Source organism: Homo sapiens, chromosome Y (genome assembly GCF_000001405.40).
Source record: "Homo sapiens chromosome Y, GRCh38.p14 Primary Assembly".
Classification (NCBI taxonomy): Eukaryota; Metazoa; Chordata; class Mammalia; order Primates; family Hominidae; genus Homo; species Homo sapiens.
Window position 1 is genome coordinate 1293224 of NC_000024.10, and position 20550 is coordinate 1313773.

Here is a 20550-nt window from a genome sequence, read left to right on the forward strand (position 1 = left end):
TGTTTTTCTGAGACAGAGTCTCACTCTGTCGCCCACCCAGGCTGGAGGGCAGTGGCGGGATCTCGGCTCACTGCAACCTCCGCCTCCCGGGTTCACGCCATTCTCCTGCCTCAGCCTCCCGAGTAGCTGGGACTACAGGCACCCGCCACCACGCCCGGCTAATTTTTTTGGATTTTTAGTAGAGACGGGGTTTCACCGTGTTAGCCAGGATGGTCTCGACCTCCTGACCTCGTGATCCTCCCGCCTCGGCCTCCCAAAGTGCTGGGATTACAGGCGTGAGCCACCGCGCCCAGCCCCCTGATCTCTCTTTCTTTTCCCTACACAGAGTAGACAAAGAGGTGTCCCTACTCCACATTTACCTGGACCCAGTGTAGACAGGAGGAGACCCTGCCCCACCTCCACCTGGACCCAGCGTAGACAAAGAGGTGTTTCTACTCCATATCTACCTGGACCCAGTGTAGATGGGAGGAGACCCTGCCCCATCTCCACCTGGACCCAGTGTAGACAAAGAGGTGTCCCTAGTCCACATCCACCTGGACCGAGTGTAGACAGGAGGAGACCCTGCCCCACCTCCACCTGGACCCAGTGTAGACAGGAGAAGACTCTGCACCACCTCCACCTGGACCCAGTGTAGACAGGAGGAGACCCTGCCCCACCTCCACCTGGACCCAGTGTAGACAGGAGAAGACTCTGCCCCATCTCCACCTGGACCCAGCGTAGACAAAGAGGTGTTTCTACTCCATATCTACCTGGACCCAGTGTAGATGGGAGGAGACCCTGCCCCACCTCCACCTGGACCCAGTGTAGACAGGAGAAGACTGCACCACCTCCACCTGGACCGAGTGTAGACAGGAGGAGACCCTGCCCCACCTCTACCTGGACCCAGTGTAGACAGGAGGAGACCCTGCCCCATCTCCACCTGGACCCAGTGTAGTCAAAGAGGTGTCCCTACTCCACCTCCACCTGGACCCAGTGTAGACAGGACCTACTCCACCTCCACCTGGACCCAGTGTAGACAGGAGGAGACTCTGCACCACCTCCACCTGGACCCAGTGTAGACAGGACCTCTCGGGTTCAGGGGTGTGTCCTGCGCCCTCGTTACAGAACGATTCAACCCTCCCAGCAATGTCACCGTACGTTGCAACACGACGCACTGCCTCGTACGGTGGAAACAGCCCAGGACCTATCAGAAGCTGTCGTACCTGGACTTTCAGTACCAGCTGGACGTCCACAGAAAGGTCGGTGAGAGCTCCCCGGGGCTGGGCACCAGGAGGGAGGCGTACGGGACACGCCCGCACAGGAGCCTGGGAATCCCGGGGAAGTGGCCTGGGGGAAGGATGCGTGGGTGGTGAGCGGTGACTCTGGGGTGAACGCACTTCGGGTAGCGGAGGAAGAGGTGAAGGGTCTGTGGCCTGTGGAGCCACCTTGAAAGAGGTTGCAGGGAGGGTGGACAAGGATGATCCTGCAACCATGGAACCAGGAAGTGGACCGGGAGGTGTGGGGGACGATGCCACAAGCAAGGAGAGCCTCTGCTCCACCTCCAGCTGGACGCAGTGTAGACAGAAGGAGACCCTGCCCCATGTCTACCTGGACCCAGTGTAGATAGGAGGACACCCGACCCCACCTCCACCTACACCCAGTGTAGACAGGAGGAGACCCTGCTCCACCTCCATGGAGACCCAGTGTAGACAGGAGGAGTTCTTGTCCCACAACTACCTGGACCCAGTGTAGACAGGGAGAGAGACTGCCTCACGTCCACCTCGATCCAGTGTAGACAAGAGGAGATCTTGTCTCACAACCTCCTGGACCCAGTGTAGACAAGAAGAGACCCTGCCCCATGTCCACCTCGAGCCAGTGTAGACAAGAGGAGATCTTGTCCCACAACCACCTGGACCCAGTGTAGACAAGAAGGAGAGCCTGCTCCATGTCTACCTGGACGACAGGAGAACACCCTGCCCCAAGGCCAGTGGGACCTTTCTGGATGGGTTACAGGAAGATATCTGGCCAGGAAGACTTCTGTGTTTGCAGCTCCTCATCCTACCTGTCTTGTAGATTCGGGGTTTGTGGAGGGAGACCTGCCTGCCACTCCGCAGGGACTCCTTCCCATTCGGTGCCCACACCAGGGGAGACACTGTGTGAACCATCTACAGTGTTTTAGAAATGGAAACAGTGAGCCTTGTGTTGTGTTTTGTTTTGTTTCTAGAATACCCAGCCTGGCACGGAAAACCTACTGGTAAGTGAAACCACAGACCCTACTGACAACCCTCAGCGTAACCCTACGGTCCCCTACTCACCACACCTAGTGTAACTCTACAGTCCCCTACTCATGACCCCTACAGTCCCCTACCGACGACCTCCAGCGTAACCCTACGGTCCCCTACTCACCACACCTAGTGTAACTCTACAGTCCCCTACTCATGACCCCTACAGTCCCCTACTGACGACCTCCAGCGTAACCCTACAGTCCCCTACTCACCACACCTAGTGTAAGGAGGAGGAGACCCTGCCCCACCTCCACAGAGACCCAGTATAGACAGGAGGAGCTCTTGTCCCACAACCACCTGGACCCCGTGTAGACAGGAAGAGACCCTGCCCCACGTCCACCTAGCTTAATCCTACAGTCCCCTACTCACCACACCTAATGTAACTCTACAGTCCCCTACTCATGACCCCTACAGTCCCCTACCGATGACCTCCAGCGTAACCCTACAGTCCCCTACTCACCACATCTAGTGTAACTCTACAGTCCCCTACTCACGACCCCCGGAGTAATCCTACAGTCTCCTACTCACGACGCCTACAGTTCCCTATTCATGACCCCTAGCGTAACCATACAGTCCCCTACCCATGAGCCCTGGCATAACCCTACAATCCCCTACTCACCACACCTAGCATAAACCTACAGTCCCCTACCCATGACCCCTGGAGTAACCCTACAGTCCCCTAGTCACTACACCTAGTGTAACTAACCATACAGTTCCCTATCCATGACCTCTGGCGGAACCCTACACTCCCCTACTCACAACCCCTAGTGTAACCCTACAGTCTCCTACCCATGACCCCTGGCGGAACTGTACAGTCCCCTACTCACGACCCCTACACTCTCCTACCCATGACCCCTGGCGGAACCCTACAGTCCCCTACTCACGACCCGTACAGTCTCCTACCCATGACCCCTGGCAGAACCCTACAGTCCCCTACTCACGACCCCTACACTCTCCTACCCATGACCCCTGGCAGAACCGTACAGTCCCCTACTCACGACCCCTACAGTCTCCTACCCATGACCCCTGGCGGAACTGTACAGTCCCCTACTCACGACCCCTACAGTCTCCTACCCATGACCCCTGGCGGAACTGTACAGTCCCCTACTCACGACCCCTACACTCTCCTACCCATGACCCCTGGCGGAACCCTACAGTCCCCTACTCACGACCCCTACAGTCTCCTACCCATGACCCCTGGAGGAACCCTACAGTCCCCTACTCACGACCCCTACAGTCTCCTACCCATGACCCCTGGCGGAACTGTACAGTCCCCTACTCACGACCCCTACAGTCTCCTACCCATGACCCCTGGCGGAACCCTACAGTCCCCTACTCACGACCCGTACAGTCTCCTACCCATGACCCCTGGCAGAACCCTACAGTCCCCTACTCACGACCCCTACACTCTCCTACCCATGACCCCTGGCGGAACCGTACAGTCCCCTACTCACGACCCCTACAGTCTCCTACCCATGACCCCTGGCGGAACCGTACAGTCCCCTACTCACGACCCCTACACTCTCCTACCCAAGACCCCTGGCGGAACCCTACAGTCCCCTACTCACGACCCCTACACTTTCCTACCCATGACCCCTGGCGGAACCCTACAGTCCCCTACTCACGACCCCTACACTCTCCTACCCATGACCCCTGGCGGAACCCTACAGTCCCCTACTCACGACCCCTACAGTCTCCTACACATGACCCCTGGCGGAACCCTACAGTCCCCTACTCACGACCCCTACAGTCTCCTACCCATGACCCCTGGAGGAACCCTACAGTCCCCTACTCACGACCCCTACAGTCTCCTACCCATGACCCCTGGCGGAACTGTACAGTCCCCTACTCACGACCCCTACAGTCTCCTACCCATGACCCCTGGCGGAACCCTACAGTCCCCTACTCACGACCCGTACAGTCTCCTACCCATGACCCCTGGCAGAACCCTACAGTCCCCTACTCACGACCCCTACACTCTCCTACCCATAACCCCTGGCGGAACCGTACAGTCCCCTACTCACGACCCCTACAGTCTCCTACCCATGACCCCTGGCGGAACCCTACAGTCCCCTACTCACGACCCCTACAGTCTCCTACCCATGACCCCTGGAGGAACCCTACAGTCCCCTACTCACGACCCCTACAGTCTCCTACTCATGACCCCTGGAGTAACCCTACAGTCCCCTACTCACGACCCCTACAGTCTCCTACTCATGACCCCTGGAGTAACCCTACAGTCCCCTATTCAGGAGCCGTAGTGTGACCCTACAATCCCCTACTCACAACCCCCGGTGGAACCCTACAGTCCCCTACCCATGACCCCTGGTGGAACCCTACAGTCCCCTACTCACGACCCCTACACTCTCCTACCCATGACCCCTGGCGGAACCCTACAGTCCCCTACTCACGACCCCTACAGTCTCCTACCCATGACCCCTGGCAGAACCCTACAGTCCCCTACTCACGACCCCTACACTCTCCTACCCATGACCCCTGGCAGAACCCTACAGTCCCCTACTCACGACCCCTACAGTCTCCTACTCATGACCCCTGGAGTAACCCTACAGTCCCCTATTCAGGAGCCGTAGTGTGACCCTACAATCCCCTACTCACAACCCCCGGTGGAACCCTACAGTCCCCTACCCATGACCTCTGGTGGAACCCTACAGTCCCCTACTCACGACCCCTACACTCTCCTACCCATGACCCCTGGTGGAACCCTACAGTCCCCTACTCACGACCCCTACACTCTCCTACCCATGACCTCTGGTGGAACCCTACAGTCCCCTACTCACGACCCCTACACTCTCCTACCCATGACCCCTGGCGGAACCCTACAGTCCCCTACTCACGACCCCTACAGTCTCCTACCCATGACCCCTGGCAGAACCCTACAGTCCCCTACTCACGACCCCTACACTCTCCTACCCATGACCCCTGGCAGAACCCTACAGTCCCCTACTCACGACCCCTACAGTCTCCTACTCATGACCCCTGGAGTAACCCTACAGTCCCCTATTCAGGAGCCGTAGTGTGACCCTACAATCCCCTACTCACAACCCCCGGTGGAACCCTACAGTCCCCTACCCATGACCTCTGGTGGAACCCTACAGTCCCCTACTCACGACCCCTACACTCTCCTACCCATGACCCCTGGTGGAACCCTACAGTCCCCTACTCACGACCCCTACACTCTCCTACCCATGACCTCTGGTGGAACCCTACAGTCCCCTACTCACGACCCCTAGTGTAACCCCACATGACCCCCAGTGTAACCCTATAGTCCCCTACCCACGACCTATGTCTGCCTAGACCCAGTGTGATCAGGAGGAGACCCCACCTCACCTCCCCCTAGACCCAGTGTAGACAAGAAGGAGAGCCTGCCCCACGTCTACCTGGATCCAGTGTAGACAGGAGAATACTCTGCCCGACATACAGTTGAACCACTCACAACCCTAGCGTCACCCTACAGTCTCCACGAACCCTACAGTCTTGGTTTATGGGACTCTTAGTGCCAGTGTGGCCCAGGGGTGGACACGGTGGATCCTGAACCAGAGGATGCAGATCTCACACGGGTGAGGGCCCCCTCATAGTTCTCACTGGGCAGGGTCTGCTCTTGGCCTCAACCTTCGTGTCCCAATGGTTGGAATATTTATGCTCAGCCTGTTCTACTGATTTTCCCATTTTATTCCTCTTTCCTCTACGTGGGTTAAGAATATATTCTAGTGACTGTCTAAGGAGATTATGTCTCCCTCTAAAATGCTTTTAGAGTGAGTACTGTTGCCGGGTATTTACCAAGTCTCGCGGCCACTCTGACCCTCGGTATCCTCCTCTGTCCGATGAGTATGCTAGACTTGGGGATCTTAATATCCCTTGCTAAACTATCCGTCTGAAGGTCTGTTAATATCAGTTGTTGATCCTGAATCATTTATTTATGTATGTATTTATTTTTGAGACGGAGTCTCGCTCTGTCCCCCAGGCTGGAGTGCAGTGGTGCGATCTCGGCTCACTGCAAGCTCCACCTCCCAGCGATTGTCCTGCCTCAGCCTCCCTACAGAGATTCTACAGTCTCAGCCTGTAGCTGGGACTACAGGCACCCACCCCCACACCTGGCCAACAATTTCTGTTTCAGAAAATAAAATTTTAGCCAGGCACGGTGGCTCACGCCTGTCATCCCAGCACCTTGGGAGGCTGAGGTGGGCGGATCACTTGAGGTCAGCAGTTCAAGACCAGCCTGGGCAACATGGAGAAACCCCATCTCTACTAAAAATACAAAACGTACCCATGCGTGGTGGCGGGCGCCTGTAATCCCAGCTACGTGGGAGGCTGAGGCAGGAGAATGGCGTGAACCCGGGAAGCGGAGGTTGCGGTGAGCCCAGATCATGCCATTGCACTCCAGCCTGGGCGACAGAGCGAGAGTGTCTCAAATAAAATAAAATAAAAGAGGCCGGGCGTGGTGGCTCATGCCTGTAATCCCAGCACTTTGTGAGGCCGAGGCGGTCGGATCACGAGGTGAGGAGATCGAGACCATCCTGGCCAACATGGTGAAACCCCGTCTCCACTAAAAATACAACAAAAATTAGCCGGGCGTGGTGGTGGGCACCTGTAGTCCCAACTACTGGGGAGGCTGAGGCAGGAGAATGGTGTGAACCCTGGAGGTGGAGGTTGTAGTGAGCCAAGATCGCGCCACTGCACTGCAGCCTGGGTGACAGAGGGAGACTCCGTCTCAAAAAATAAATAAATAAAATAAAATAAAAAAGCTTAAAGCCTACATCACCCAAATTTTCCCAACTTGTCTCCCATCGAAATACTAACGAGGCTTGACTCTGCTTAGCTTCGAAGACCCGATCAGACCAAGTGCATTCAGAGTGGTAGAAAAAAAAGAAGAAAAAGAAAAAAAGAAAAGGAGAAAAAAACTTAAAAGACAAAAGAACGAAAAAAGGCAACCTTTTCCTCCACACAGAAGACGCCTATCTCTAACTTTCTTTTTTCCTCCAAAGATTAATGTTTCTGGTGATTTGGAAAATAGATACAACTTTCCAAGCTCTGAGCCCAGAGCAAAACACAGTGTGAAGATCAGAGCTGCAGACGTCCGCATCTTGAATTGGAGCTCCTGGAGTGAAGCCATTGAATTTGGTAAGCGTTGGGCGGAGGTAAGGGATGTTTGTGCCGTCTGCGGCCACCCTGCAGCAGGCACAGAGGTCAGGTGCTCTGTCCTGGGCGCTGAGATCGAGTTGAGCACGTCGCTGGGAGTAGTGTCAGGCTCTGAGCTTATCGCTGAGGCTCAAAAGAAGGAGGTGGTCTCGTACTTGGTCCCGCAACATTGCTTTGCTGATGTTTTTTCAGGACGGATGAGTTGGCTCCCTTAATAACCAGAGAAGGGCCAGGTGCAGCGGTTCACGCCTGTAATCCCAGCAATTTGGGAGGCTGAGGCCGGCGGATCACCGGAGGTCAGGAGTTTGAGACCAGCCTGGCCAACATGGTGAAACCCCGTCTCTACTAAAAATACAAAATTAGCCCAGCATTGTGGCAGGTGCCTGTAATCCCAGCTACTCGGGAGGCTGAGGCAGGAGAATCACTTGAACCCAGGAGGCGGAGGTTGCACTGAGCTGGGATCACGCCATTGCACTCCAGCCTGGGTGACAGCGTGAGACTCCGTCTCAAAAAAAAAAAGAAAAAAAAATACAAAAACTAACCAGGATTGGTGGCACATTCCTGTAATCCCAGCTACTCAGGAGGCTGAGGGCAGGAGAATGACTTGAACCCGGGAGGTGGAGGTTGCAGTGAGCTGGGGTCACGCCATTGCACTCCAGCCTGGGTGACAGAGTGAGACTCTGTCTCAAAAAAAAAAAAAAAAAAAAAAAGAAAAAGTAGAAGGAGGTGGTCTCATACTCATACGGGGTCATGCAACATTGCTTTGCTGGTGTTTTTTTCAGGGTGGATGAGCTAGAATCCCTTAATAGCCAGAGAAGGACCCCACTGATAGCCCTCCTAAAGTCCCACCTCCCTCTGCTCCACTGGGAAACAATCAGTCAGTCTTTGTCCGGTCAAACCGTCACCATTCCGGCTCCCTGGCCAAGGGGAAGCTCTCTCCCTCTTTTTTTCTTTTTTTTTTTTTTTTTTTTGAGACGGCGTTTCGCTCTTGTCGCAGGCTGGAGTCCAGTGGCGCAATCTCGGCTCACTGCAAGCTCCACCTCCTGGGTTCACGCCATTCTCCTGCCTCAGCCTCCCCAGTAGCTGGGACTACAGGTGCCCATCACCACGCCTGGCTAATTTTTTGTATTTTTTTTTTTTTAGTAGAGACAGGGTTTCACTGTTTTTTAGCCAGGATGGTCTCGATCTCCTGACCTCGTGATCCGCCCACCTCGGCCTCCCAAAGTGCTGGGATTACAGGCGTGAGCCACCGTGCCCGGCCCTCCCTCTTTTTTTTTTTTTTTTTTTTTTAGATGGCGTTTCGCTCTTGTTGCCCAGGCTGGAGTGCAGTGGTGCCATCTCGGCTCACCGCGATCTCCGCCTCCCAGGTTCAAGCAATTCTCCAGCCTCAGTCTCCCGAGTAGCTGGGATTACAGGCGCCCGCCACCACACCCGGCTAATTTTGTATTTTTAGTAGAGACGGGGTTTCACCATGTTGGTCAGGCTGTTCTTGAACTCCTGACCTCAGGTGATCTGCCCACCTCGCCCTCCCAAAGTGCTGCAATGACAGGCGTGAGCCACCCTGCCCGTCCGGGGAAGCTCTCTTCAAAGCCAGGTCTCGGCTGCCCAGGAGACAGGTCTATGCTTTTCTCTGAAGATGATTTTGAGGGCTCCAAATTGAAAAGGGGAAGGGGCAGGATATTGAGAAGTATGCGGTTTTCACCTCAACAAAGGGTACAGAAGAAAAATTGTGAGCTGCAGTGCAGTGGTGCACCTCTACCTCCCAGATCACACAGACAAAATGGGGTACAGGGATGATCAGAGGTGCATTCGTGTCTGGTGGGCCGGGGTGACTGCACCTGTAAGAAATTTTTTTTGTTTATTTATTTTTTGTTATTTGAGACGGACTCTCGCTCTGTCACCCAGGCTGGAGTGCAATGGCACGATCTCAGCTCACTACAACCTCTGCCTCCTGGGTTCAAGCGATTCTCCTGCCTCAGCCTCCCGAGTAGCTGGGATTACATTAGACATGCATCACGCTTGGCCAATTTTTGTATTTTTCTTTTTATTTATTTATTTATTTATTTTGAGATGGAGTTTCGCTGTGTCACCCAGGCTGGAGTTCAATGGCACGATCTTGGCTCACTGCAACCTCCGTCTCCCAGGCTCAAGCGATTCTCCTGCCTCAGCCTCCTGAGTAGCTACGATTACAGACATGCATCATGCTTGGCCATTTTTTAAATATTTTTATTTATTTATTTATTTTGAGACAGGGTCTCACTCTGTCACCCAGGCTGGAGTGCAATGGCACGATCTCGGCTCACTGCAACCTCCGCCTCCCGGGTTCAAGCGATTCTCCTGCCTCAGCCTCCCGAGTAGCTGGGATTACAGACATGCATCACGCTTGGCCAATTTTTGTATTTTTATTTTTATTTATTTATTTATTTATTTTGAGATGGAGTTTCGCTGTGTCACCCAGGCTGGAGTGCAATGGCACGATCTTGGCTCACTGCAACCTCCGTCTCCCAGGCTCAAGCGATTCTCCTGCCTCAGCCTCCTGAGTAGCTGGGATTACAGACATGCATCATGCTTGGCCATTTTTTAAATATTTTTATTTATTTATTTATTTTGACACAGGGTCTCACTCTGTCACCCAGGCTGGAGTGCAATGGCACAATCTCGGCTCACTGCAACCTCCGTCTCCCAGGCTCAAGCGATTCTCCTGCCTCAGACTCCCAGGTAGATAGGATTACAGGCACCCACCACCATGCCTGGCTAATTTTGTATTTTTTTTTTAGCAGAGATGAGGTTTCACCATGTTAGTGAGGCTTGTCTCGAACTCCTGACCTCAGATGATGCGCCCGCCTCGGCCTCCCAAAGTGCTGGGATGACAGGTGTGAGCCACCGTGCCTGGCCCAATTTTTGTATTTTTGGTAGAGACGGGGTTTCACCATGTTGGTCAGGCTGGTCTCGAACTCCCAACCTCAGGTGATCCTCCCGTGTCGGCCTCCCAAAGTGCTGGGATGACAGGCGTGAGCCACCGCATCCGGCCCATGGTGGCAAAGTTTTAACAGCTCACCAGAAATTTCCTTGTGGGCAAAACATAGGGCAGGCAGGTTGCTTTCATCTCAGAGCCATCTTAGTTAAGAACCAAAAACAGGGAGGCAGGTTTGCTGGGCCCAGTTCTCAGCTTGACTGTTCCCTTTGGCTAAATGCATTTGGACACCCGAAGAGATTTAATTTCCTTTCACATGTCCGTCAACGATTCACCGCAGACGCAAACCTGTGTGTCTCTCCAGGTTCTGACGACGGGAACCTCGGCTCTGTGTACATTTATGTGCTCCTAATCGTGGGAACCCTTGTCTGTGGCATCGTCCTCGGCTTCCTCTTTAAAAGGTAACCTGTGAAACACCTGGGCCTCCCCAATGAAAACAGGCCAGGCCGGGAGGAAAGCGCTTTGTCCAGTCTCTGTCTCTGTCTCTGAGAAAGAGAAACACAGCCTTGGCCGGGCGTGTTGGCTCATGCCTGTAATCCCAGCACTCTGGGAGGCCGAGGCGGGTGGATCACGAGGTCAGGAGATCGAGACCATCCTGGCTAACACAGTGAAACCCCGTCTCTACTAAAAAATTAGCCCGGCGTGGTCGCGGGCGCCTGTAGTCCCAGCTACTCGGGAGGCTGAGGCAGGAGAATCGCTTGAACCCGGGAGGTGGAGGTTGCAGTGAGCCGAGATTGCACCACTGCACTCCAGCCTGGGCGACAGGGCGAGACTCCATCTCAAAACAAACAAAAGAACGGAGAAAACGGGAGATCCTACAGGAATACACAGTGATGCTCACAGGGAATCTTTCTAGAATCTTCCCTCAGCCCCTCGGGCACAGGGATGGGAATGGAACAGGCAGTCAGCTGTGGGCAGCTTCAGGGAGTCTGAAGTCACTGCTGTTGAAGGGCTGAGCTCCAGAGGGGAAACGCCTGCCTTGATCCCACTAGCCTTGAAGAGCGTGGTTTCTGGGTTGGAGGTGGGTTTTTTTTTGTTTGTTTGTTTTTTTGTTTTTTGTTTTGAGACAGACTTTTGCTCTTGTTGCCCAGGCTGGAGTGCAGTGTTGCAATCTCGGCTCACTGCAACCTCCACCTCCCGGGTTCACGCCATTCTCCTGCCTCAGCCTCCCGAGTAGCTGGGATTACAGGCATGCACCACGATGCTCACCTAATTTTTGTATTTTTAGTAGAGATGGGGTTTCACCACGTTGGCCAGGCTGGTCTCTAACTCTTGACCTCAGGTGATCCACCCGCCTTCGCCTCCCAAAGTGCTGGGATTACAGGTGTGAGCCACCATGCCTGGCCTAGTTCCTTAAGATGTTTGTCATTTGGTGATTTTTTTTTGTTTTTTTGAGATGGAGTCTCACTCTGTCACCCAGGCTGGAGTGCAGTGGTGCAATCTCGGCTCACTGCAACCTCCACCTCCCAGGTTCAAGCAATTCTCCTGCCTCAGCCTCCTGAATAGCTGGGATTACAGGCAAGCACCACGATACTCAGCTAATTTTTGTATTTTTAGTAGAGACGGGGTTTCACCACGTTGGCCAGGCTGGTCTCAAACCTCAAGTGATCCACCCGCCTCGGCCTCCCAAAGTGCTGGGATTACAGGTGTGAGCCACTGCACCCGGCCTAGTTCCTTAAGATTTTCGTCACTTGGTGATTCTTAGTGAAGTTTTGCATAGTTGAGCGCAGACACCCCGCACGCAGCATCCCTCGGCACAGGGCGTTGATGGAAGGAACTCTGGTGACCCGGGGTTCATTCTCTTCACACTTTTTCTCTGTGTCTCAGGTTCCTTAGGATACAGCGGCTGTTCCCGCCAGTTCCACAGATCAAAGACAAACTGAATGATAACCATGAGGTGGAAGACGAGGTAGGCAGGGGTGGGCGGAGCAGTGACCTGGGATGGAAGGTGGGGAGTGGGGAGCGTGGGACACGGCCTCTGGGTGTCGACCATCTTGCTTCTCCACCAGATGGGACCGCAGCGTCACCACCGGTGTGGCTGGAATCTGTATCCCACTCCTGGGCCTTCTCCCGGGTCGGGGTCTTCTCCAAGGTTGGGGTCAGAGTCATCTCTGTGAGCTCCATCAGGAGAAACTGAGGCAGGGTGGTGGTCAAGAAAAGGAGGAGAAGACGGTAGAGAGGGCCAGGCACGGTGGCTCATGCCTGTCATCCCAGCACTTTGGGAGGTTGAGGCATGTGGATCATCTGAGGTCAGAGGTTCGAGACCAGCCTGGCCAACGTGGTGAAACCCCATCTCTGCTAAAAATACAAAAAATTAGCTGGGTGTGGTGGTGTACGCCTGAAATCCCAGTGACTCGGGAGGCTGGGGCAGTAGAACGGCTTGAACCCAGGGGGCGGAGGTTGCAGTGAGCCGAGATCGCACCACTGCACTCCAGCCTGGGTGACAGAGCGAGACTCCATCTCAAAAGAAAAAAGAAGGTAGAGAGGAGAGGCAGAAATAGAGACAAGAGACAGAGGCAGAGAAAGATGGAGGGAGAGAGATGGAGGAGAGAGAGAGGAATGTAGAAGAGAATGAGGAGACACAAAAGAGAGGGAAACAGGCAGACAGACTGACAGAAACAAAGGCAGACACACAGACAGAGAAACAGAGAGAGGGAGGGAGAAAAGGGAGAAGGAAAGAGAGAGACACGAGACACAGATGGAGAAACAGAGACAGATAAACAACAAACATAAAGACCCAGGCGGGGGCCGGTCGCGGTGACTCACATCTGTCATCCCAGCACTTTGGGAGGCCGAGGCGGGTGGATCACTTGAGGTCGGGAGTTCGAGACCAGCCTGACCAACCTGAAGAAACCTCGTCTCTACTAAAATTGCAAAAATTAGCCAGGTGTGGTGGCGCACACCTGTAATCCCACCTACTCTGGAGGCTGAGGCAGGAGAATCACTTGAACCCAGGAGGCGGAGGCTGCAGTGAGCCGAGATCGCACCATTGCACTCTAACCTGGGCAACAGAGCAAAACTCTCTATCAAAAACAAAACAAAACAAAAAAATCATCCCCAGCAGGGAGAGGAGAGAGACAGAGAGGAACAGAGGCACAGAGAGGGGAGAGAGACAAAGACAGAGAGACACAGAGAAAGACACAGAAAAAGAGAGAGAGAGGGAGAAGGAGACATAGAGACAGGGACAAAGAGAAAAAGACGGACAGAGAGAGAAACAGAGAGACATAGGTGGACACAGAGAGGGGAGAGAGAGAGAGAGACAGAAAGAGACAGAGAGCAAGGGATGGGAGTGGAAGAGAGAGACAGATGGAGGAAAAAGACAGAGAGGGAGGCAGATAAAAGACACACAGAGACACCGAGAGAGACAGGGAAGACAGAGGAGTCGGACTTAGTCTCAGCGAGAGCCCAGAGAGGGTGAACAAGGGCGAGGAACCATGTGACCTGCACCCTGAGACCCCATTGGCGCTCCTCTCCCACCCACCTCTCTCCGGCTCAGGGACTGCGTCTTATGTTGCAGTAGGCTGGCAGGCTGGAAAGTCAGGCCAGGGCTGATGCTGCATCCCAGAGGCAGAACTGTCCTGCATTCTCAGAGTGGGAGATGAAATTTTTAAAAAGGAAATAAAACTCTTGTCGGGGAACCTCAGCTTTTATCCTTTAGACGTTTGACTGATTAGACCAGGCCCACTCTTCTCCTTTACACTTTCGGCTGATTGAATGAGGCCCACCCTTCCCCCTTTACACCTTCGACTGATTAGATGAGGCCCACCATTCCCCTTTAGACCTTCGACTGATCAGATGAAGCCCACCCTTCCCCTTTAGACCTTCAGCTTATTAGATAAGGCCCACCCTTACCCTTTAGACTTTCAACTGATTAAATGAGGCCCACTCTCCCCGTTTAGACCTTTGACTGATTAGATGAAGCCCACGCTTCTCCTTTGGACCTTCAACTGATTAGATGAGGCCCACCCTTCCCCCTTCAGCCTTTCGACTGATTAGATGAGGCCCACCCTCCCCTTTATACCTTCGACTGATTAGATGAGGCCCACCCTCCCCTTTATACCTTCGACTGATTAGATGAGGCCCACCCTCCCCTTTATACCTTCGACTGATTAGATGAGGCCCGTCCTTCCCCCATTTAGATCTTCAACTGATTAGATGAGGCCCACCTTTCCCTTTTTAGACCTTTGACTGATTAGATGAGGCCTACCCTTCTCCCTTTAGACCTTTGACTGATTAGATGAGGCCTACCCTTCTCCCTTTAGACCTTTGACTGATTAGATGAGACCCACCCTTCCCATTTAGACCTTCAACTCATTAGATGAAGCCCACCCTTCCCCCCTTCCCCTTTAGACCTTCAGCTTATTAATTAGACAAGGCCCACCCCCTTTAGACCTTCAACTGATTAGATGAGGCCCACCCCTCTTCAGACCTTCAACTGATTAGATGAGGCCCACCCCCTTTAGACCTTTGACTGATTAGATAAGGCCCACCCACATTCTCCAGTCCAATCTCTTTTCCTGGAAATCAGCTGATTGTGGACTTGACATCTACAAAGCCCCTTCGTAGCAGCCGCTGAGTCATGGTTTCATTCAATAACTGGGGACTGTAGCCTAGTCACGGGGACACGTCATTGGTGCCGGGTATCAGAGACGAAGGCCAAGAGATGAAAGAGAAACAGAGACTGAACCCAAAAGAGGCAGACACACAGGAAGATGGAGATAGAGACCCAGAGATGGGGGTGGAAGAAGGTGAGAGGGGGAGGAAAGAGAGACAGAGAGGGAGACAGAGAAAAGAGGCAGAGAGACCGAGAGAGAGGCTGAACAGCAAGACCCCAGAGAGGGTGACTAAGGGTGAGAGACTTGCGTGACCCACATCCCAAGACCCCGTGGGTGGCCCTCTCCCACCCACCTCTCTCCAGCTCAGGGGCTGTGTCTTCCTCCCATGGGGAACTCCAGTTGCAGCCCAGGGTTGCCCCCAGCGCCCTCTTCTCTGCCACATAGGTAACATCCTCCTGGTTGCCACTTGCACACCCCCATCCTAGACCTGGCCATCTGTCATTCCATTACCTTCCACCCCCACGCCAGCCTCCTCCCCGGCCCCCGCTTTCCACTGACCCCCAGGGGTCCCCCACATCGAGGTGCCAGGATGACGGCTTCAGGCTTCAACCTTCCCTTCTCTGAGCTCCATCAGCTCCAGGGGCTTAGCACCTGCTGTACCCTGCCCAGGTTTCATGCTCACAAGCTCTTCCAAAGACCACCCTGTTCATCGTCAACTATGAGGTCCCATGGGTGGATCTGTCTCAGATCTTTACCCCAGGAAAAACCCATGGCCAGGTGCAGTGGCTCATGCCTGTCATCCCAGCACTTTGGGAGGCCGAGGCGAGTGGATCACCTCGAGGTCAGGAGTTTGAGACCAGCCTGGCCAACATGGTAAAACCCCATCTCCACTGAAAGTACAAAATTTAGCTGGTGGCGGCTAAAGGGGGAAAGGTGGGCCTCATCTAATCAGTCGAAGGTCTAAAGGGGGAAGAGTGGGCCTCATCTGATCAGTCAAATTTGTGGTGGCGGGCGCCTGTAATCCCAGCTACTCAGGAGGCTGAGGCAGGAGAATCGCTTGAACCCGGGAGGCCGAGGTTGCAGTGAGCTGAGATGACACCACTGCACTCCAGCCTGGGCAATAGAATGAGACTCCGTCTCGAGGGAGAAAAAGAAAATAAACACAGCCCACTGAGTCCCAGGCTGAGCTCGTGAAGATCTGACAGCCTGAACCCTCCTTTTTCTCAGATCATCTGGGAGGAATTCACCCCAGAGGAAGGGAAAGGCTACCGCGAAGAGGTCTTGACCGTGAAGGAAATTACCTGAGACCCAGAGGGTGTAGGAATGGCATGGACATCTCCGCCTCCGCGACACGGGGGAACTGTTTTCTTGATGATGCTGTGAACCTTTATATCATTTTCTATGTTTTTATTTAAAAACATGACATTTGGGGCCAGGCGCGGTGGCTCACGCCTGTAATCCCAGCACTTTGGGAGGCCAAGGCAGGCGGATCACCTGAGGTCAGGAGTTCAAGACCAGCCTGCCCAACATGGTGAAACCCCATCTGGACTAAAAATGCAGAAATTTACCCAGGCACGGCGGCGGACGCCCATCATCCCAGCTACTTGGGAGGCTGAGGCAGGAGAATTGCTTGAACCCGTGAGGCGGAGGTTGTAGTGAGCCAAGATCGCACCATTGCACACCAACCTGCGTGACAGAGCAAGATTGCATCTCAAAACAAACAATAATAATAAATAATAAAAACCTGATATTTGGCTGGGCGCCGTGGCTCATGCCTGTAATCCTAACACTTTGGAGGATTGCTGGAGACAGGAGTTTAAGACCAGTCTGGGCAACATAGCAAGACCCTGTCTCTACAAAAAAGGCAAAAATTAGCTGGGCGTGGTGGCTTGTGCCTGTAGTGCCAGCTATCTGGGAGGCTGAGGCGGGAGGATCACTTGAGTTCAAGCTGACAGTAAGCTATGATTGCACCGTTGCACTCCAGCCTGGGTAACAAACTAAGACCCCATCTCTCTGTCTCAAAAAAAGTGATACTTCGCAAAGATGCTTAGACTCCAAGAAGCTTTTGCATCTCTTTCCAACCCAACTACTGAGGTACTGTGTAGCCTCCTCCTTGAATAACTAACCTGGTGAGCTGAGATTGCGCCATTGCAATCCAGCCTGGGCAACAAGAGCAAAACTCCATCACATTTAAAAAAAAAAAAAAATTGATGGCCGGGCGCGGTGGCTCACACCTGTAATCCCAGCAGTTTGGGAGGCCGAGGCGGGAGGATCACGAGGTCAGGAGATCGAGGGCATCCTGGCTAACATAGTGAAACCCCATCTCTACTAAAAATACAAAAAATTAGCCAGACGTGGTAGCGGGCGCCTGTAGTCCCAGCTACTCGGGAGGCTGAGGCAGGAGAATGGCGTGAACCCGGGAGGAGGAGGTTGCAGTGAACCGAGATCACAACACCGCACTCCAGCGTGGATGACATAGCGAGACTCCATCTCAAAAAAAAAAAAAAAAAATTATTATTGTACAGTGCCAGGCCTCCCTGGGTTATAAATCCAGTTTTTAGTAGGTCCGGTTCCTTCTGGAGGACAAAGTGATGATATAGTTTGGTTGTTTGTCCCTTGCAAATCTCAGTTTGAAATTTGGTTCTCCGGGTTGGAGGTGGGACCTGGCAGGAGGTGTTTGAATGAAGAGGGGGCGGACTCCTTATAAATGGCTTGGTGCCTTTCTTGTAGTAATGAGTGAGTTCTTTCTCTATTTGTTCCTGAAAGAGCTGGTTATCAAAAAGAGGCTGGTGCCCGGGCATGGTGGCTCACGCCTGTAATCCTAGCACTTTGGGAGGCCGAGGCTGGTGGATTGCCTGAGCTCATGAGTTCGAGACCAGCCTGGGCAACATGGTGAAACCCCGCTTCTACTAAAAATACAAAAAGTTAGCTGGGTGTGGTGGCGGCCACCTGTAGTCCCAGCTACTCAGGAGGCTGAGGCAGCAGAATTGCTTGAACCCGGGAGGCGGAGGTGGCAGTGAGCCAAGATCACGCCATTGCACTCCAGCCTGGGCAACAGAGTTAGATTCTGTCTCCAAAAAAAAAAAAGGTAAAAAGAAAAAGAGGCTGGTACCTCCTTCCCTGCCTCTTGCCACCTCTCCCACCATGTAACACCAGCTCCCCTTCCTCTCCCACCAGGAGTGGAAGTTGTTGAGCTTCTCAGCAGCAGATGCTGAAGGCACAATTCCTGTACAGTCTGTGGAATCATCAGCCAAATAAACCTGTTTGTTTTTTTTTTTAAGTTGGAGTCTTGCTTTGTCGCCAGGCTGGAGTGCAGTGGCACAATCTCTGCTCACTGCAACCTCCATCTCCCCAGTTCAAGCAATTCCCCTGCCTCAGCCTCCCAAGTGGCTGGGAGTACAGGCGCCCGCCACCATTCCCGGCTACTTTTTTTTGTTTTGTTTTGTGTTTTAGTAGAGACAGGGTTTCACCTTGTTGGTCAGGCTGGTCTCCATCTGACCTCGTGATCCGCCCCCCTTGGCGTCTCCACGTGCTGGGATGACAGGCGTGAGCCACCGCGTCCAGCCAAATAAACCTCTCTTTAAAATACATCACCCAGCCTGGGGAATCCCTTTGTAGCAACACAAAACAGACTAAGACGAGACGGAAATTCATTTCCCTCCATTTCCCACATCTAGAAAAGGCTGACTTTCTTCATTGGTGGTTGCTGTCACTCAGGCCTGCTGTTGACTCCTCATATCTCACTGGACTGTGACTCTCCTGCCTCCCTCTCATAAGGACAATTATTATTATTATTATTTGAGATGGAGTCTCGCTCTGTCATTCAGGCTGGAGTGCAGTGGCACGATCTCAGCTCGCTACAACCTCCACCTCCCGGGTTCAGGCAATTCTCATGCCTCAGCCTCTCGAGTAGCTGGGATGACAGGCACCTGCCACCACACCTGGCTAACTTTTGTATTTTTAGTAGAGATGGGGTTTCACCATGTTGACCTGACCACAGGTGATCCACCTGCCTCAACCTCTCAAAGTGCTGGGATTACAGGTGTGAACCACCACACCTGTTCCTTATAAGGACAATTGTAATTACATGTCAGGCCCACGGGGACACTCCAGAATCATCTCTCCATGGCAATATCCCTGGAATAAAAGTCCTCCTTCCATAGAGAGCATTCTGTAATGTGTCCACAGCATGCTTATCCAGGTAAGAACATGCTGGGGGCCATTATTCTGTCTCCCACGTGGAATTAGGACGTGGACATCTTTGGGACCATTATTCTGTCTCCCACATGGAATTAGGACGTGGACATATTTGGGGACATTATTCTGTCTATCACATGGGATTAGGACGTGGACATCTTTGGGGCCATTATTCTGTCTCCCACATGGGATTAGGACATGGCCATATTTACGGGACATTATTTTGCCTCCCACGATCAGTGAGTAATTCAATCGCCACAGATACCGAAACATCAACTGAGATGGTGGCTGACAGGTGGTCTAGGGCCTACAGGGGACTTCAGGACTTGGAGCCGAGAGAGAGCCGAGCTTGGGATGGATCTGACGGTGAGGTGCCAGCTGTTTCCTCCCTCGTGGGTGTTCCACGTCCCTCCTGCAAACCCCAGCCGGCCCCTTGCTTCAGAGTTTCAGGGGAGATTTGACGATGGAGCAGAGGCAGCCTTCCGGAACCTTCTACCCCTGACCTTTTGATTCACAAGTCAAAGCTTGGGGAAGAGATGGAGCCAGGCTCTTGGTGGGGAGAAGCGTCTAAAACACAGCAAGGAAGAAAAAGCGTGGAATCCTCTGGGCCTGCAAGAAGTGAGAGGAGGAGACTCCCACAGGGCGCCCCAGGAAGCAGGTCCACCTCCCCAAGGGAGCACCACATTCCTGGGTATGAACCTGTGGGTTTCAGAGACCTCAGGCCCTATTTACCTCAGAAGCAGAGGCCTCCGGTGTCAAAGAGACAGCAGAGGCCGGGCGTGGTAGCCATGCCTATAATCCCAGCGCTTTGCCAGGCCAAGGCAGGTGGATCACTTGAGGTCAGGAGTTCAAAACCAGCCTGGCCAACGTGGTGAAACTCGTCTCTACTACAAATACAAAAAAAAAAATAAAAAAAGCTGGGTGTGGTGGCACACGCCTGTAATCCCAGCTACTCAGGAGGCTGAGGCAGGAGAATCACTTGAACCTGGGAGGCAGAGGTTGCAGTGAGCCAAGATCACGCCACTGCACTCCAATCTGGGTGACAGAGAGGAGCTGTGGTCAGGCACAGTGGCTCATGCCTGGAATCCCAGCACTTTGCAAGGCCAAGGCAGGCAGATCATTTGAGGTCAGAGTTCAAAACCAGCCTGGCCAACATGGCAAAATCTCGTCTCTACTAAAAATACAAAAAAAAAAGCCAGGTGTGGTGGCAGGCACCTATAATCCCAGCTACTTGGGAGGTTGATGCAGGAGAATCGCTTGAACCCAGGAGGCGGAGGTTGCAGTGAGCCAAGATCACGCCATTGCACTCCAATCTGGGTGACAGAGAGGAGCTGTGGCCAGGCACAGTGGCTCATGCCTGTAATCCCAGCACTTTGGGAGGCCGAGGTGGGCAGATCACCTG

The 20550-nt window shown here is 53.4% G+C and overlaps 1 protein-coding gene, 1 long non-coding RNA gene, 1 other non-coding gene and 1 pseudogene across 40 annotated transcripts in view; 2 read left to right on the forward strand and 2 right to left on the reverse strand.

Moving 5' to 3' along the window:
* Window positions 1–20550, forward strand: part of CSF2RA (colony stimulating factor 2 receptor subunit alpha) — a 56405-nt gene that overhangs the window by 24410 nt on the left and 11445 nt on the right. For 14 of the 38 annotated variants that reach the window (NM_001379163.1, XM_047442716.1, NM_001379162.1 and 11 more), the window contains 5 exons: window positions 1105–1238; window positions 2204–2233; window positions 7268–7403; window positions 10700–10796; window positions 12223–12304. In NM_001379163.1, the coding sequence (NP_001366092.1) occupies window positions 1105–1238; window positions 2204–2233; window positions 7268–7403; window positions 10700–10796; window positions 12223–12304 (479 nt within the window). Of the gene's footprint in view, window positions 1–1104; window positions 1239–2203; window positions 2234–5779; window positions 5843–7267; window positions 7404–10037; window positions 10140–10699; window positions 10797–12222; window positions 12305–12404; window positions 12719–16178; window positions 16713–19045; window positions 19153–20550 lie in introns of those variants that run through there. The other 24 variants (NM_006140.6, NM_001161529.2, NM_172245.4 and 21 more) reach the window with 11 other exon arrangements.
* On the reverse strand, window positions 323–775 carry LOC124905238 (uncharacterized). The gene is made up of 3 exons (XR_007068468.1): window positions 706–775; window positions 620–662; window positions 323–359 (listed from the first exon to the last, which is right to left on the reverse strand). It is a non-coding gene; the product is annotated as an uncharacterized LOC124905238 (long non-coding RNA).
* On the forward strand, window positions 695–769 carry MIR3690 (microRNA 3690). Its single transcript, NR_037461.1, has one exon. It is a non-coding gene; the product is annotated as a microRNA 3690 (primary transcript).
* RNA5SP498 (RNA, 5S ribosomal pseudogene 498) lies at window positions 7033–7152 on the reverse strand (annotated as a pseudogene).